General features: G+C 36.9%; 1 long non-coding RNA gene across 3 annotated transcripts in view; it reads right to left on the minus strand.

Annotated features, from left to right (window-relative positions):
* LINC02787 (long intergenic non-protein coding RNA 2787) overlaps nucleotides 1-16,823 on the minus strand; it is a 35,944-nt gene extending 19,121 nt beyond the window's left edge. For 2 of the 3 annotated variants that reach the window (XR_001737796.1, XR_947592.1), the window contains exons 1-3: nucleotides 16,628-16,823; nucleotides 2,261-2,532; nucleotides 515-585 (exon numbers count right to left, since the gene is read on the minus strand). This is a non-coding gene — a long non-coding RNA (long intergenic non-protein coding RNA 2787). The remainder of the gene's footprint in view (nucleotides 1-514; nucleotides 586-2,260; nucleotides 2,533-16,627) is intronic. The other variant, XR_947593.1, reaches the window with a different exon arrangement.
* Between the last annotated feature and the right edge of the window lie 528 nt (nucleotides 16,824-17,351).

Consider the following 17,351-nt stretch of genomic DNA (forward strand, 5'->3'; position numbering starts at 1 on the left):
ATTTCAAGCAAAAAAGGAACCAGACAAAATTATCAAACTTTTCAAGCTACAATCATGTCATTAGTTTAACATTCTCAAAATGTTCAGAAAGAATTATTAAATGACTCAGTTTATTATCAATACACATTTATTAAATTTCTAGCTGCACTAAGCACTGAGCTTATGTTATCATAAGTAAATTGCATGGGCCAGTGACTGCCTTCTAAGAACTTGGAATCTCCAGGCAACACACTGTATAGACAAAAAGCTCTAAGATGGAGACATTGGTCCATTACAAAAATATCTAGGCCCATAAGTGAACTATAATCAGAAGCATCCTGAACTACGAGCTTCATCTTAAACAACTGATAGTATCAGTGCCCACAGGTTATTCAGGGGTGCCTGCTTTATCAATCACACTGACAAGCAGAGTGCAAGACAAGAAATCAATCTTCGGAGAAGCCATCTCTCAACAGAAGACAGAAGAGTTACCCCATTTATTCAGTTATTAAATAGATAATTATTGTAAACTTACTATGAGATAGGCCCTTGGGATACAGTGGTGAGCAAAGTAGACAAAAATCCTTGCCCTATGGAGCTCACTTTCTAGAGCAGGAGATAGAAAATGAACCAAATAAATAAATAAATTAAATTGCTTATTGAAAGTGATAAGTGCTGTGGAGATAAATAAAGCAAATAAAGGGAATACAGAGATTATTTTTTAAATAAGTCATCAGGAAAGGTCTCACTGAGACACTAATATTTAACTAACAACTTGAAGTTTGAAGTTGGAAGACCCATAGGTGTGTGGAGCTCTAGACAGAGGGACCAAGAATTGGGAATTTCAACTCTGATTTAAACTTTAGGCTGAGGCCTCAGTCATTTTGATTAAATAAAAAGTGAATCAGCATAAAAAAAATATCTAGTTAGGCAAAGTAAATAAATTCTAAAATTATTTTAGAGATGAAACTAGGAAAAGTAGATTATTAGAATAGAGGTTAGAGATAATAACCTCAGAAGAATTTTCTTGGAGAATAGGAAAACAGAAAAAGCAACAGAACTAGTTTCTTGTTGCTTTCTATGGGGATTGGGTAGGGATAGGAAAGAGAGGGATATGAGCACTTTCCTAAATCCAGGGACAAAGGTTTCACTGAGGAGTGGGATTTTAAAAGATTTTAAAATACTGTGGGCAAGGCATTTGACTAGGCTGGGAAGAGAAAGATGTTCCAGGTGTATTCATTCAAAATTCATGTGCTTACTCATTCAACACCACTGGATACACTGAGAGATACAGAGGCAAACCAGAAATTATTTGGGGGTATGCAAACAGAAATACAATAGCCAGTATCCCTACCAGCGCACTATTAAATCACCCCTCTAACCTATATTCATTCACTGAACAAATATTATTTGTGTTTCCACTCTGTGCTAGGCATTTCCTAAGTATTATGGAAGATTAAAAAAGAAAGAATAAGATAAGGACCTGCTTTCGGGAGCTTACTAGGAGCAGTAATAATGATAATAGTTATTACAATAATATACGGTAGACAGAGGTAAATGCCTTAAGGAGATAAAAATGAAGTCTTATGGAAGGTCAAAGAGTTCTCATACTCAAATCTTATCTTCTCTAGGAATTATGGCTTTCTCCTTTGAATTTATTATGCACGTTGTTCATTTGGCACTTATCTTTTATTGTCTCATATTAGCAGGTAGACGAGTTCATTTTATGTCTTATGTTTCCAAACAGATTATCATACTTCTCAGTAGTTCACCACCCCCACCAAAATATTCAGCATAGTGCAGTGTACAGCACACTCAGTCTAATATGTACACTGCACTGTCTTCAACTTGTTGGAAGGGACAGAGTTTCCAACTGTCTTCAACTTGTTGGAAGGGATAGAGTTTCTTAAACTTATTGTAGTCTCTGTTACAAGTGTTTGGGTTTTTTTTTTTCCTACCTCCAGCTAAAATGTGACTTCCTTAAGGACAAGAACTATGTATTGTTGGCAATCCCCTAAGGCCCACAGTCTTGAACATAGTGTTCAATACATGTTTGCTGAATGAATAAATGCTTAATGGGAAACTTTCTGAAAGTGTCATAATGATACCTCACATAGATATCGGGATTTACAGTTCTCAAATTGCTCTAAAATACACAACTGCCTTGAATCCTCTCAATAGAACGGTAGAGTTGCCACTGAGATGGTTATTGCACAGATGAAAGAACAATGATCATGGAAGATCAACCACCAAGTCACTAAGAGGCAGAGCGGGGACTTACCAGGTGTGTCAGGCTCCACATCAAATGCTTCTTTCTCCACCAAGGAATCATTGAATCTCACAGTGGGGCTTGACTTGGCCTTTGTCTCCAAGTCATAGCTTAGTGTCATGAGACAATAACTATCAAGTGACAAGTAAAATTCCTTTCTTCTTCAATGTCATACTGTGGAAATATGGTGAACTCAGACCACAAATCCAGGCCAGTTTACCTCGGATGCAACAAATGGCTGATCTTCGTTTGTATTATAGACTGAAGTGGAGGGAGCTATCTCTCTGGAAGAAAATGAGATGTATTCAAGTCATTTGTATTAGGGAAGAAAATCTTAGGTAAGTCTGATGTAAACACCAATTTTCTGCATGACCTGGGCAGTACAACAAGTAGGCAGTCTAGATCGGGAATGAAATCTATGTCAAAATTGGCAGTAGTAGAACTTGGGAAAGGTCAACAAATCGTCTGACACAGGCTTTTAAGATATCCATAGTAATAGGCTCTCCAGGCCTTTAAAAACCACTGGAGAATCCCCAAATTCATCTGGTATAATAAATAAACTCTGGGGTTTTCACCCAAATTCAAAACTCAGCCATTCTAACCCTTCTTCAGCCATCAATAGACATACGCTGCTTTTCAATGCGTTTCTTGTACTCACCTTGTCTCCTGTCAGCAGCCAGAAGTTGGGGTTTTTTTTGTTATCAAGAGTAAGATTCAAACAGCCTGCCCTGCAGCAATCCCATACTGCAGTTCTTTGTCAGAATCCTAATGACGAATTCTAAATACATAAGAGACCATCTCCAGCTGTAAAAGTGAAGAGCTTCCAGGGCCTGTTGAGTTCCCTGACCCCAGACCTATTTTTATATTTTGATCTTGGGGACCGTGCCTCATGACTTTCAGAACCCTCAAGTTATCCCCGGGGTTACAGAGCACTAGCTTAACCAGTCATAGCAAGACTTAAAACAGGGCAGCCAGGATCAAAGTGGCCAACAAACTAGTGCATTAGCCACCAGACCAGCCCCCGAGAGAACTGCAATAAGCTGCATTGTACAAGTGGTTAAATTCTTCTCATGAAAAACCTCAACACTCACGGCTTTCAGTTGCATATATCTGAATAACCATTTTAACAGCTACTCGCATTTTGACATAAAATGTAACAACAGCAGTTTAATGTTCTGACTGAAGTACAGAGACAACAATACAATTTGATTTTGTTTTTTAATTTAAAGCTGCCTAAACCTCAAAGTTCAGTGTTACTTGCTCTACATTTTCCTCAGGCTGATATTAAAGGGACTTTCCTCTATTCAGAGAGCATGGATGAGAGAATGTTTAAAAAAAAAAAAAAAGAAAGAAAAGAAAAGAAAAAAACCCTGAAGAGTCTGGATTAAGAATAACATAGCACAGAGAGGTTTTGTCAATGAACTGACACTTCATTTTTCCTTCCATTGTCTGCCTCCCCGAAGAGCAGGAGACTAGCAACTGGGATGATCACATGAAGGCGGGAAAAACACAACTGTCAGGCTCCAAGGACAAAGCCTGCTCTTAACAATACCATTCCTTAAATCCAGACATTAGAGCCGAAGGAATGAGAAAAAAGCAACTCACTCATGGATAGCTTACTGAGGATACTGCAGAAGATTATGCTAATCTTCACTTCATTGTCCTCTGCAAAATGTTTTCATATCAAGCCTTTTATCTGGGGAAGAAGAGATGCCCAACCTCTCAACTCAGTAACAGCCAGCACTTTCTGTGTGGTTTCTGCGTAATTAACACCAGCACTAGACCTTTTCATTTGTGCTACTCAAGCTTAGGGCCTTTTGAGGGTGTCCACAGGGGAGCAGCCCTCACCCTTTGCCTGTGGCCCGGGAGCCACAGCTTATGCTTAGATCTGCGTGCCATCTGTTAATGGCAGAGGGAGCAAAACTTGAGCTAACTTTTCCTTGACTGCCAGAGAATGCAAGAGACCAAATCCACCAGCATGAGATGAGCAAATTATTATTAAAAAAAAAAAAAAATCTAACAGAGGAATTCAAGCCAACTGCCTCATTTTCCCTATCAGATTTTTGCCTCATTATAACTACTTTTCATTTGGGACTTAAAGGGCATGAAAGCCCTAGCTTAGGTGGTAACTTGAATGGACCAAAGGGACACTTTTCTTTCTTTCTTAGGAATTGAGCTTCTGCATTCGCCTCATTTTATTTCAGAATTGTGTCACAGATGAGCCACATACACACTCCTGACTGACGAGAGGCTATAGGCAGCCCACAGGAACGTAAGATTTAAGGCTGAATTTTCCTCTCTAATCGATTTCCCTGGCTTTTGTTGGCTCAGGTCAAACTCATATGAATATCATAAAAGCCAATCTTCATAATGATGAAAGTCATGTGAAAGTGTTAAAGAGAGGCGATCGCCCGTAATGCTTTTGTTTGTTGTAATTGTTGGTGTGAGAATTTAGTTCTTAGGAGTTTCCCAACAACATGTAAAAGGAAAGGTTAATTGTATATAAAAACACATTTCCCTCAGACGATTCTACTACTCCAGAGGTGAAGAACTATTGCCACACTTTTCACTTGTTCTCTAAAAAACTTTCTTTAGACTTATTAGCCAATTCAGTTTTACCCAGAACCTGGTTTCAAATCTGCTTCAAACTAACTCTATGTTGTTGGGGAGGCAAAACTCAGGTAAGCTCAGCTCCTTCATTAACATAATGAGAACACACAGGATCATAGGTTCCCAAACTGAAGCCAAAAAAATCTCTAGGAATCTCCCCCAGATAGATTACTATTCTGGAATTATTTGGACTTATTTTGTAAACTAATGGAAACCAGACTCATGGGTAAATATACCATACAGAAAAAATAATAAAAAGAAGTCTTGATGGATAAAAATTTGGGAACCACAAAATCAGAGGGTCTTTAGGATTTCTTGAAGTTTTGTAATTATCTGGTTTAATATGCCTTGGCCCAAATGAGGTGATGTTCTTTGAAAGAAGCTCACGATTTGGTTTCCGTGTGTGGGCAGTACATATTGTTTGATAGTGCTGTGATCTCAATGAATTTTTGTGAATTAAGTCAAACTAATGTATTAATAGGGGTCCAATTAATTGGGAAAGGAGTAGTATGAACCAGCACTGTTTGCCTCCAAAACATACTACCAGCTCTGGAAAGCTAAAATGTGCCACTCTCCTTGTTCGTCCTGCTCCACTGAATGAGCCTGCTTTATGACAGCAACTACACACCTTACGGGCATTGGGTAAACATGGATGTGCCCCTTCCTGCAGCGACAGTCCTAAGTCAGTGCCAGAGGGCTTGCTCTTGGTCCATGCAACAGGCTCAGATGTGGGACATACACTGGTGAGGCCAGATGTTCTATATTTTTAAAATGGGCTTTTCCTGTTTTTGGTTTATGCATTACCCTCTATAACAAACAGGGATCACTGTACAATGCCATCATGGCTTCCTATTCCAAGGTTTTGCAGGAAAAGTAGGTGAAAAAAATAAAAAAGGAAAGACTACAAGGAATATACAGAATTCTCTCCCATCAAAATGTTGAAGTTTCTGGTGAACTGCACTTTGAATTTTAGAAATTTACAAATTCCATATGTAATTATAATACATCTTTCTTTGTAATCACATTATAAACAAAAAGAAAATTTTTTAAAAACTCTCAACCCTAGGTAAATTCTAAACATTTTCTCTTGAGATTTTGGTGAAAGATGAAATGATGACAAAGGACTAAACAGAAGTATTTTATTGTATTGCCTACTTTTATGTGAAAAAGTATTCTTTATATATATACATACATTTAATATATATTTTGTACATGTATGTGTATATATCTGACTTTCTATTCTATCTAACCTCATAACTTACCAAAAAATACTGTCATTGTATATATCATATATAAATCAGACTTTCTATAATATCTAACTTTGTAACTTGCTGGTGCTCTAAAGAATTAAAAAGGCATTGTCTAATAATCTAAATTTACTAGAGTGAACATGTAAATCTTCATAGAGTAAGAAAGAACTCTCTAAAGTTAGAATACCCTTTAACAGATAAAGCATCTAAATATAAGAGGCCACCTGCTTCATTCAGCAACCACACAATTTGGTGAAATTAAACTCTTCCAGAGCAGTTAAAATTGCATGGCTGTGAAAACACCATTTACTGACTACCGAGAGTTTTACTTAGTATAAGCTGTTTAGACCACATGAAATCTGCAATACACTGTTAGATCTTTACAAATTTCATGAAATCTTTTTCGGATATCCAAAAAATCCTGAACTGCTTGAATCTATTGTATCCCAGCACTGGGGACTGACCCATAATCTCTTTCCCAGCCAGGATACCAAATCTGTACCCAACCTTGTCACTGATTCCGGCAGCTGCTTATATTCACCAGAGGGGATGGCAGCAATCCTACTTCTAAAAGAACACCACAAGGGCTTACGTTCACGATGCCTTGAAGAGGGCCTGAAAGGAAGGTCAAAGGTGAAGAAAAGATAAAGTGCCAAACAAGGAGATCAGTAACATAGGGTCTTCTTGATGAAATCCTAACGTCTGATTCTTCAGGATGCAAGCGTCATAACTGCATTTCCAAAAAGTCTGTTTTGTTGGTGTTTGTGTGTATGTGTGTGTGTGTCTGTGGATTTGTGTGTGTGTGCAAGTGTGTGTGCAAAGTGGGTTTTGTTTTGTTTTTAGGTCGGATCACTGTGCATCTAAAAGCCTTATTCAGTTGTCCTTGTCCCAAGTACTTTGTCTTACACAGGCTGCATTACTCTTGTAAACAGAGGCTTCATCAAAGTGAGAGCAGAGAGAGTCACATCAGTGGATTAAGGCCTTCTGCATGATAAAGTAGCTACCTAGGGGGGGATAAACTTAATATGTGAAAGAATGTTATTGAGAGGAATAAAGTACCAAAACTCCGTCATTCTCTTCGTAATGTCCTAATCTAATGCCTGACACTGGGGCCTTAGGCCAGGGTTAGTGTTAATCAATGAAATACCCATCTGTGTTCCCTGTCCTTATCGCTATTTAAAACTAACCTAAACTCAATTATTGTCTCTTAGAGACCAAGATGGGATACTAAGTTGATTGAAAGGAATTGTGTCCCACAAAGAAATCCCAGTGTTAAAATGCAGAGGTGTCAACATCACTAACTAAATTTCAGCCAAAAAGAGATTAAATGCTAATTCTTAGAACATGAAAAAGTTGCATAGATGACATCTGGCTAAAAATCCTTATTTGAAAACAGCTAAATTCTGGTAAACAGAGAAATCAATCCAGAGAACATTGTGCTCTTTAGAATAAAATGGATTGTTTATGTCTCCTGTATCATTTATAGCACAATAAATATACAAGGGGAATATTAAGTTCAAACGAGGATTCAGGTTTTAGGCCAAATAAGAGATAACATTCTTGAATTCATAATTGCTAGAATCATGATGACTATTTGAAGGATATATAATTTATCCCTTAATAACTGAAAGGTGTCATCCAAAACTGTTGTATTCATAATTAAATTTAAAGGTATTCTTTAAAGAGGCAAGGAGCAAAGAAGAGAAGGTGAGAAAAATGGTCTTATTGCTCAGTAATATTCATTATTTCCTTATTAATACTTGGGCAAAAAACGTCACACTTTTCCATTTTTATTCTTTTTGTTTTGTACCCAAGTTTATGGAAGATTGCTTTTAGAACTGAGCAAATTCTCTAAAACCAGGTTTCATGGCATGGTCACATATGTATCAAACATTACTTTGAGAAGTTTTGAAATAAAGCAAAAAGCAATTATTTAAATCTGTAGGAAAGTTAATCTAAAATGGTGTAAATATGTTTTTATTGTGCTTCTTGAGCCTGCATATATGTTTAAATACAAATGGGTTTATATAAATACCATTTCATAAGTTAATAATAAAATTATAATTAAGAAGCTTTTTTCTGATAAATTGTTTAGTGGAAAAGCAACATTCACAATGTAGGCATCTTATAATTATAATTCTAAAAATATATGCATACAAGGAAAAAGACTGAAAGGAATATTTAAAAATAAATTCTGGGATGACTGATTCTTCATGTTTAAAATCTGTAATATACACAATACAGGTTGCATTTTTTTAATGATGGTAAAATACACGTAATATAAAATTTACAATCTTAATGCTTCTTAAGTGTTTAATTCAGTACTGTTTAGTACATTCATATTGTGCAAATAATCTCCAGAACTCTTGCCATCTTGCAAAACTGAAACTCTACATCCATCAAATGCCCTATTTCCTTCTCCACTCAGTCTCTGATAAGGAGAAATCTACATTCTGTCTTTATGAGTTGACTATTCTAGGTATCTTATAGAAGTAGAATTATATATCCCATTTGTCTTTCTGTGTCTGGATTATTTCGCTTAGCATAGTGACCTCAAGGTTCACTCATATTATACAATATATAGAGATTTCCTTTCTTTTGAAGGCTGAATAATATTCCATTGTCTGTATATACCACATTGTTCTCATCCATTGATCTGTCAATGGGCATTTGGGTTGCTTCCACCTTTTGGCTTTTGTGAATAGTGCTGCTATGAACATAGATGTACAAATATCTCCTTGAGATACTGATTTTAATTCTTTTGGGTATATATCCAGAAAGAGAATTGCTGGATTACACAGTAATTCAATTTTTAATTTTTTGAATAATCACCATACTCTTTTCCACAGCAGCTGCATCATCCTACAGTTCTACCAGCAGTACTCAAGGATTCTACTTTCTCCACATCCTTGCCAACTCTTGTTATTTTCTGTTTTTTTGATAGTAGCCACTCTAATGAGTGAAAGGTGGTTTGCATTTCTCTAATGATTAGTGACATTGAGCATCTTTTCACGTGCTTGTTGGTCACTTGTATAATTTCTTTGGAAAATTCTCTCTTTAAGTCCTTTGACAATTTTTTAAAAATTTTATTGATACAAATAGATGTATATATTTTTCAGGCACATGTGATAACTTAATACATTCATATAATTTGTAAAGCTCAAACAAGTGTAACTGGGATATTCACCACCTCAAAAAAATGCTACATCAAATGTAGCATCAAATGTGGCATCAAATGCCACCTCAAAAAAATACCTACAAAAAAGAAATGCTCATCCCTTGTTAGAATACTAGCCCTACTGATACTAATTTAATACTAATTACTAATACCAATTAAAACAGACATGATTATAGCACAAGAATACACTGAAAAGTCTATGGAACAGAATAGATGGCTCGGAAATTATATCATATGAATATGCAATATATGACGAAGGAGAAAGCCTAAGTCAGTAGAGGAGAGAAATACTGACTCAGTCAATACTGCTATACCCAATAGGAAAAGAAGCCACTTTATCTTCTCCTAATATCTTATGTTATCTTATCTTAATGTTAAGATAATATCATTATCTTATAACGGAACATAAATTCTAGATGAGTTTTAAAAGTTAGGTTATTTAAAAAAATTATCTAGCAGAATAGAAAGATAGTTTCCAGAGGCTGAGAAGGGCCAGTCTAGGGACTGGGGATTAGGTGGGGATATTTAATGAATACCAAAAAAATAGAAAGAATGAATAAGACCTAGTATTTGATAGCACAATAGGGTGACTATAGTCAATAATAATTTAATTGTACATTTTAAAATAACTGAAAAAGTACAACTGGATTATTTAAAGCATAAAAGATGAATGCTTCAGGGGAGGGATATCCAATTTTCCATAATGTGATTACTATGCATTGCATGCCTGTATCAAAACATCTCATGTACCCCATAATACATACACTTACTATGTACCCATAAAACTTAAAAATAAAATTAAGAAAAATAATCTGGCCAGGCACGGTGGCTCATACCTGTAATCCCAGCACTTTGGGAGGCCGAGGTGGGTGGATCACCCGAGGTCAAGAGTTCGAGACCTGCAGGGCCAACATGGTGAAACCCGTCTCTACTAAAAATACAAATATTAGCTGGGCGTAGTGGCAGGTGCCTGTAGTCTCAGCTACTCGGGAGGCTGAGGCAGGGAGAATCACTTAAACCTGAGAGCTGGAGGTGAGCTGAGATCATGCCATTGCACTCCAGCCTGGGAGACAGAGCGAGACTCCTTCTCAAAAAAAAAAATTAATCTATCAAGAGCTAGAAGAAAATACATAGTATAAAACACCGAAATTATAGAAAGAGAACATTCTAAGCTAAAACAGTGAGATAAGTCACACAATAAAAGCTGTTTGATTGAAATTACAAGTAAACTGTCTGATTTAACTACAAATACAAAGTATTTGAAAGAATTAAAATTGAAAGGTAAAGAGCAAACTAGGAAAAATATTTATAGTAAGTATTATACAAAAAGGGCTAATATCCTATTCATCGAGGTGAAAGAACTATAACTTTCTATAGAACACAAGTCAGTGAGATCATTTTTCATATCACAGTAATCACCACCACCTTGAGAAGCTACGGAAGATGTCGCTAGGATATTTCTAAGTTAAAGATGTAGAAGACAAAGGGGTTAAGTACGGAGAGCAAACATTTTGGGCACAGCCAGGAGAATTTGTGAATTGGCACAATTTACTTTCACCCCAAACTCACCCATTCTGTACAACACAGGGGACCAGAAAATGCTGCTAATGCTAATGCATATTTTCATGATATAAAGTCAACATGACATGGCCAGATTTGCACATTTCCAGATAATGATTAATTCTTCCAGCATGTGCAAACTCTTGCTTCCAAATACTTACAAAATGAAGCTTCTAATCTTTAATTTAGGGGTGTGAGTATAGTGGTTTTGATGTTTGGCATTCAACAATTCACTTGTTGTGTTAAAAAAAATTACAAGTCATATTAAATAATAACAGAACAAAACAAAACATTATTTCAACCATTATTCCCCAAATCTAGCAATAAGAAAACAGCAAGGGGAATGCATAAGTAATTCTTAAATAAGAATTTCATATGGAAAGTCTTGAAAACTCAAAGAATCTAAGGTGCATTATTAATTTTTTCAGTTCAAATTTTACTTAGCGATCTTGCTAGTCAAGGCCCAAATTCATGTAATTAAGTATCAGCACCTTGTGCAGACACAGAGTAATTTTTAAAAGCTTTGACTTTGCATGATCTCATAGACTGGTTTTATCAGACAATGGTTCTCTAGGTTAGATACTAAATATTAATAGATCATATATTTGTTTTCAACAGTTCCAAAACATTTATCCTCAGTTATCGACTTTTAACTTTGAATAATGGTAACTAGTATTTGACTACTTAGTGCAGCAGCTGGCTGATGGAGTAACTTTTTACAGTTTTTCAGAGGGAGATGGAGTAAGAAGAGAAAGAGAGTTAAAAGACACTTGGAAATTTTGCCTAACAGCTTTGGTCATAAAGTTTTAGGAAGTTCAACCAAGTCTTCTCAACCCCCTTCTCCAAATAAAAATTTCTTGTTCATAGCCACTCAAATGGTCAAACACTCAGAAAGCCAAGAAGAATAAGTAGGAAACACATTTCAATGTGCTGATGCTAATATACAAAATTTTAACTTCAATCATCTTACCATAATTCCAGAGAACAGTACATAATAGTGTGATTCTATTTACATATAACAAATAGGGAAATGGCCTTTCTAAAACCCAGTTATTCAAGCACAGCTAATATGAGGGCAGAGTACCTTATGTCAGCGTCAGAGAGGGAAATGGTTCTGAAGTCAAGAGCATCTGAATCAGCCTCCAAATGTCAGATTGAAAAAATGAAAGAAAACGATTGTTATCTTTCAGGGACTGAAGTGGGAGCTGAAGTGCTCTCCCTCAATTAGGCAAAGTGTGGTACAGCTGATTAACCTGAATGTTACCTTGGTAACCCAAGAATTACACTGTAAATGAAATATGTTCAATGATGGGTACCTTTAATCAGCCAAGAGCCACATGAGCATTTTGAGCAAGAAAGTCATAAATCTTAGGTTTCTAGCACTTTAATCATTCATGAAATAACAGTCTTTTTTGACAAAAGGCAAGCATGGCCACTAGTTATTAAATAAATAGTAACAGAACATGGGTTTTAGTGTAACCATGAAACACCTAAGGCTTTGACTCCGGGCTTGATAATTGTAAAACAGTGCCTATGGAATAGAGGTATTAACATATTGACTGACATATATAAAGCAGAGATTACTAAAAATACCTTGTGATTTTTTCAGTGGGGCCTAGTTTACAAAAGGCTATGTTACTACAATATGTCAAAAAAAGTACTGCTTTCCTTACTGCTTTCCTTTTTTAAAATCCTGCATATGAAGGAATAGAAAATACTGATATTTTTTGCATTAACATTCTTTTTCTTTATATTATCCATCCCTTAAAGAGGTTCCATAGAACAGATAAAGTATAAATCCTGCTGTGTGTACATGTGTTACAGTTTTTCCTCTATAACCAAGCCAGTATAGTATAAAAATAATAGTAATAATTAGGTCCTGGGCCCCATTCCTTTTGTGCACTTCTATTGAATTCTGAAAGCCTCTCTTGGCCTTCCAGGGTGCTGGGAGCACAGATAAACATTTGAAAACTAAATGAAGCTTTTAAAGTGCTGAAAACTGCCTCCAGGACATGCTTGTGACCATCATCTTGAACTTGAGTCTAAAGAGTAAAGTCCTAGGGCCATACTTAGAGCTTTAAAGACACATTTTAAAATTGATGGTGAGTCTTTTAAAACCTGTGATCAGGTGTGGGGGAAGAGGTCAGTCATTCATTCCTCTTTGTGGCTATGTCTTTGCTAAGGGACACTTCTTCCAAAGATCTCATTGCCTTTAGTTCTGCTAGATGGAGAAAGATATGCAGACAGACAGACAGACGCAGAGACTTATACCAGTTCTCTCCTCCCTTTAGAATTTTTATCTTATTCATTTAACTCTGAATCCCACATCACCCTAGCAAAGTTTTTCTCAAAGGGTATTCTAGAAAATACTCTGTGAGACATTTACAGGATATCTTCATCAAAAGGGTTCAGGGCCAAATGAAATACTGGGTTAAACAAAATTTAACATGTTTCTTTACTAAGGACTTTGTGGATCCTTTTGTGTTAAAATTCATTAGCCTTCTTCCACACACTGGGTATACGGGGGCAGGGAATAAAACAGCCATGGTCCCTGTCACCAGGGAGGAGCATTGCAGACAGCCCACCGGATGTGTAAGTTAAAATGTCATCTCGCGTTTCATTTGGCACTTTGTTTTCCAAGGTCCTTTGATATCCTTTGCACAATAGCTGTGGGAGGTAGTGGCTATTAATATCTCCAGTTACATACACAAGTTAACTTATGTTTTTTATCTTGATTAATGCTATCACCTTTTCAGGAATACAGGCTTGAAAACTGACAATCCTAGTCTCTCTCTCTCACCCTCGAAGCCAGTTGTTATCAAATTCTCATAATCTTTGTGCCACATCCATACTTATGCCCGAGTCCTAATTTATACTCTTAATTCTTCTCATTTAAACCAGTAATATCACCTCTCAATTAGTCCCTCTTTTGCAAAAACCCCACATCCTCCAAACACACACACGTACACTTCTGCCCTGGTATATAGCAATACAAGCTATCCCACACATTGCTCCCAGAGTTTTCTTAGCTGCTTCTTCCTTTGGTATGCAAAGACCTCCATGATTTGACTCCAAAATTAATGTATACAAACTTATTTCACAACAGTCTTCTCTTCCCCTCCCCTGGCTTTTACCCACTAAGTTCCAGCAACATCAGTCTACTTAAGTGTAAGCTTGCCAGGAAGAGCTTTTGTCCCACTCATGCCAAATAAAATGCCATCCGTTTTTCCAGTTTAAATCTCACAGCCTCATGAAGTCTCCTCTGCCTCTCATATTCAGAACTGCCTTTTGTTCCTGTGTTCCTGTAGCACTTCATTTGTGTTTCTAGCACAGTACTTGTCACAGTCCACCCTGTATTCAAAGCTTTTTATGTTTTTGTCAGTCTGACCTCCTACCTTGTGAGACTCTGAAAAAGAGAGTGAACCTTTTTATATCACCACCTGATACCGGACACATAGTAGGCACTCATTATATATTTGTTGAAAGGGCTTGAAACAAATTAGATGAGAATGACTTTGATTCCATAGCAGGGTATAAGCAATCATCATTATGAAAACAGCTCTGGTCAATAGGCTGACCAGAGGTGCCTAACTAGACATATACAGATAAATTCAAGGGAATAGTAAGACATTTCAGGTGCGCTCAACAAAATAAAACCACTTCTTAAAGAGGTAATGTGCCAAATTTCAGCTGGAATTGATGTTTTTAGTGACCAGGTATTCCTCAGAAAACATTGAATGGAAGTAATATATTGGCAGCCAATTGAAACATAATCGGTTTTTAACCACTTACAATGAAATATTGCATTACAGGGTCATTGTTTCTGTTTTAATCACCTCTGAGTTCAGATAGTCCATATACCCCTTCCCTTCTGAAAGATTCTACACATACATTGAGGCAGAGGTGCTAATTTTCCCTAATATTCACTCTCGTCTTCTTTTTGTTAATGAAAGTTCTCTCTGGAGTTTTAGCTAGGCATATAATTGCCCAGCTAGGGACTATATTTTCCAGTATTTGAATAAAACACCTGTGACCTTGGTGTTTATTCTGGCCAATAAGATTTAAGCAAAAGTGATTTGTACAACTTCCAGGTCATGCCCTTGATGGAAACTGCTTACTGTCCATGTCTTCTTTTCCACTCCTTGTGGGATGAAACCCTGGTATGACAGCAGCCATTGAGATGAGGTCAACACCTTTGAGGACAGAGACACAGCATGATAGAGAGGATCCAAACCTCTGGATCAGCTCATGGAACAAAGCTACCCTACTGCCCTGAGACTAGCTCAGACTTTCACATAAGAGGGAAATGATTTTACTATTTTGTTTAAGCATGAATTGTTTCAGTTGCTAATAAAGCAGCCTAACCAACATCTGACCTAAAAAATGCTGTTTTATATGTCCATAGCACCTTAAAAACTTTACCCCCTCAAAAGTCACATCTGGCACCTGGAAGTGTATGGCATGAACACACTAATATAAGTTTATTTATCAGATTATTAGTCCATTTTCCCCAAAAAAAGAAAACAGAGCCCAAGAGAAAGGAGCACAGACAGTTACATTTTGGTTTGAGAAAAGCCATAGAATGAGGTTATAGTGTAGGTCTCTCTGTATGACACTATTCCCTCAAAGAAAGACATGGAAGAAAAGAAAGAAGCAGCAGGGATGGAAAAGTTGGAGGGAAAGTGACCTATTCCAGAGGTTTATCAAACAGATGACCATGTCGTTGTTCATTATACTGAGAGCTCCTTGAGGGAAGTGGCACTTCTTTTTCCCTAAATCTTATGATACATTAAAGGCAAATGATAAATGTTTTTCAAATAGAATAAATAAATGAATAACCAACTGACAGTAACTGATCAGTTTTCTACTTAAATACCTAATTGCCTATTAATCACTCGTCCATCATAATTATTCTAATAGGAGTTTAAAAAAACTATTAAACAATTTTGAATTTGCTACAACTGAGTAGCAATGAAATCCTCAAGAGTCTACCTGACAGAGTGATATCAGGAAGCGACAGGCAGCAGCCAGAAAGGCAGGTAGCAGATGCCAAAATTAGGAGGCACTTTACACTCATCCAGATGAAGAACTGTAAAAGGAGTGATGGATTGCTGCACAAAGAGAAACCTTTAACTAGGTTTTGCTCAGCGTGGCATCAAGTAAGTACTATTGGCTGCATTCAGCAAAGTAGAAGTGTCTGTATGCTGAGATGTCAGCTTGTAAAAGTGTCAGTCTCCAAAATAAATCGAGTAGCAAATGAAAATATGTAAATAACTATACTTGATGCTAAAAACACCGAGTAAGAAAAAAGCCATTTTAAAGGAATTTTCCTTGTTAACCACACAGCAAGTTGGGCTTAGAAGGAGGGTTTTCTAGATTAGCACATGAAGTTTTCTGGTTTAATATAAAGTAGATGGTGGTTTCAGGGGCTGGTGGAAAGGGCACTGATAGGAGAGGCCAAAATCTGGGGCTTTGCCTTAACTCTTTTTTAATGACACTACCTGTGTCAAGAATTTTTATCCCTCTCACTTTGTTCCATCCTCATAAAATGGAGACTGAGAACTTACTTCTTTCCTTTGCTGCACCTCATCTGCTCACAAAGTTTAAAAATCTGATAATGACACCACAATTATATGCTCAAATTTGGGGGTGGGGGTGGTAGGGCCACACTGTTACCCAGAGAATAAAGTATGTGTCTTCAGGGAAGTTAGGCAGGATCCATCACCCCACAAACACAACCAATCATCTGCTCAATGGTGCTAACATGAATCAAAACCTTACCTTGTGTGGCATAAAGGGATACAGCACAGGCCTGAGGCAGCTGCATGATGGAACAAATGAGACCATCAGCCTTAAGATCAAGAGATTCAGTTCAAATCCTAGTTTAACCCTTCATTAAATACATGACTTCAGTAAGTCCCAGTTTCCTCATCTGTAAAATGGGGCTGGGGCTGGGGCTGGGGCTGGATTATCCATAGGTCAGCTGAAATAAATAAATGATAGAAACAGGTTGTCTACCACACAAATAAAAACATGTTTTTTCCAAGTACGAGTAGAAACACAGCCTTGTCAATCAAAACAGAAATCCTGCTTCTCTGCAGGTGGATGAGAAGAGAGATAATCTTATCTTCATTGCATAATCAGAAGAGCTTGTGCCTCTCAACATCTGGAATCCTGCGCCCAAAGTTGGAGCTCCTGGGGGCCCTCCATAATCAACAGAAAGACTTAATAAATTTCTATTTATAAGTGAATTTTATTACATTGGGCCCCAACTTTTGCCCACATTTCTATCCAGTTGATTCCCTCAGCTCTGAAATACTTCAGAAATTGTGTGGCTGCCATATTTTAAAGGGTGAGGATAGGGGATCAAGAATTGAAAATGTTTATCTCCCATCTTCACTTTCTCACCCTCCTCAATGATTCACAATTGCTACAAGTTCTCCAAGTGCCTACATTACATAAGGCCAACTGAAATGCCCACTTTATGATATTAACTCATGAGGAT

This window comes from Homo sapiens, chromosome 1, assembly GCF_000001405.40.
Source record: "Homo sapiens chromosome 1, GRCh38.p14 Primary Assembly".
Taxonomy (NCBI): Eukaryota; Metazoa; Chordata; class Mammalia; order Primates; family Hominidae; genus Homo; species Homo sapiens.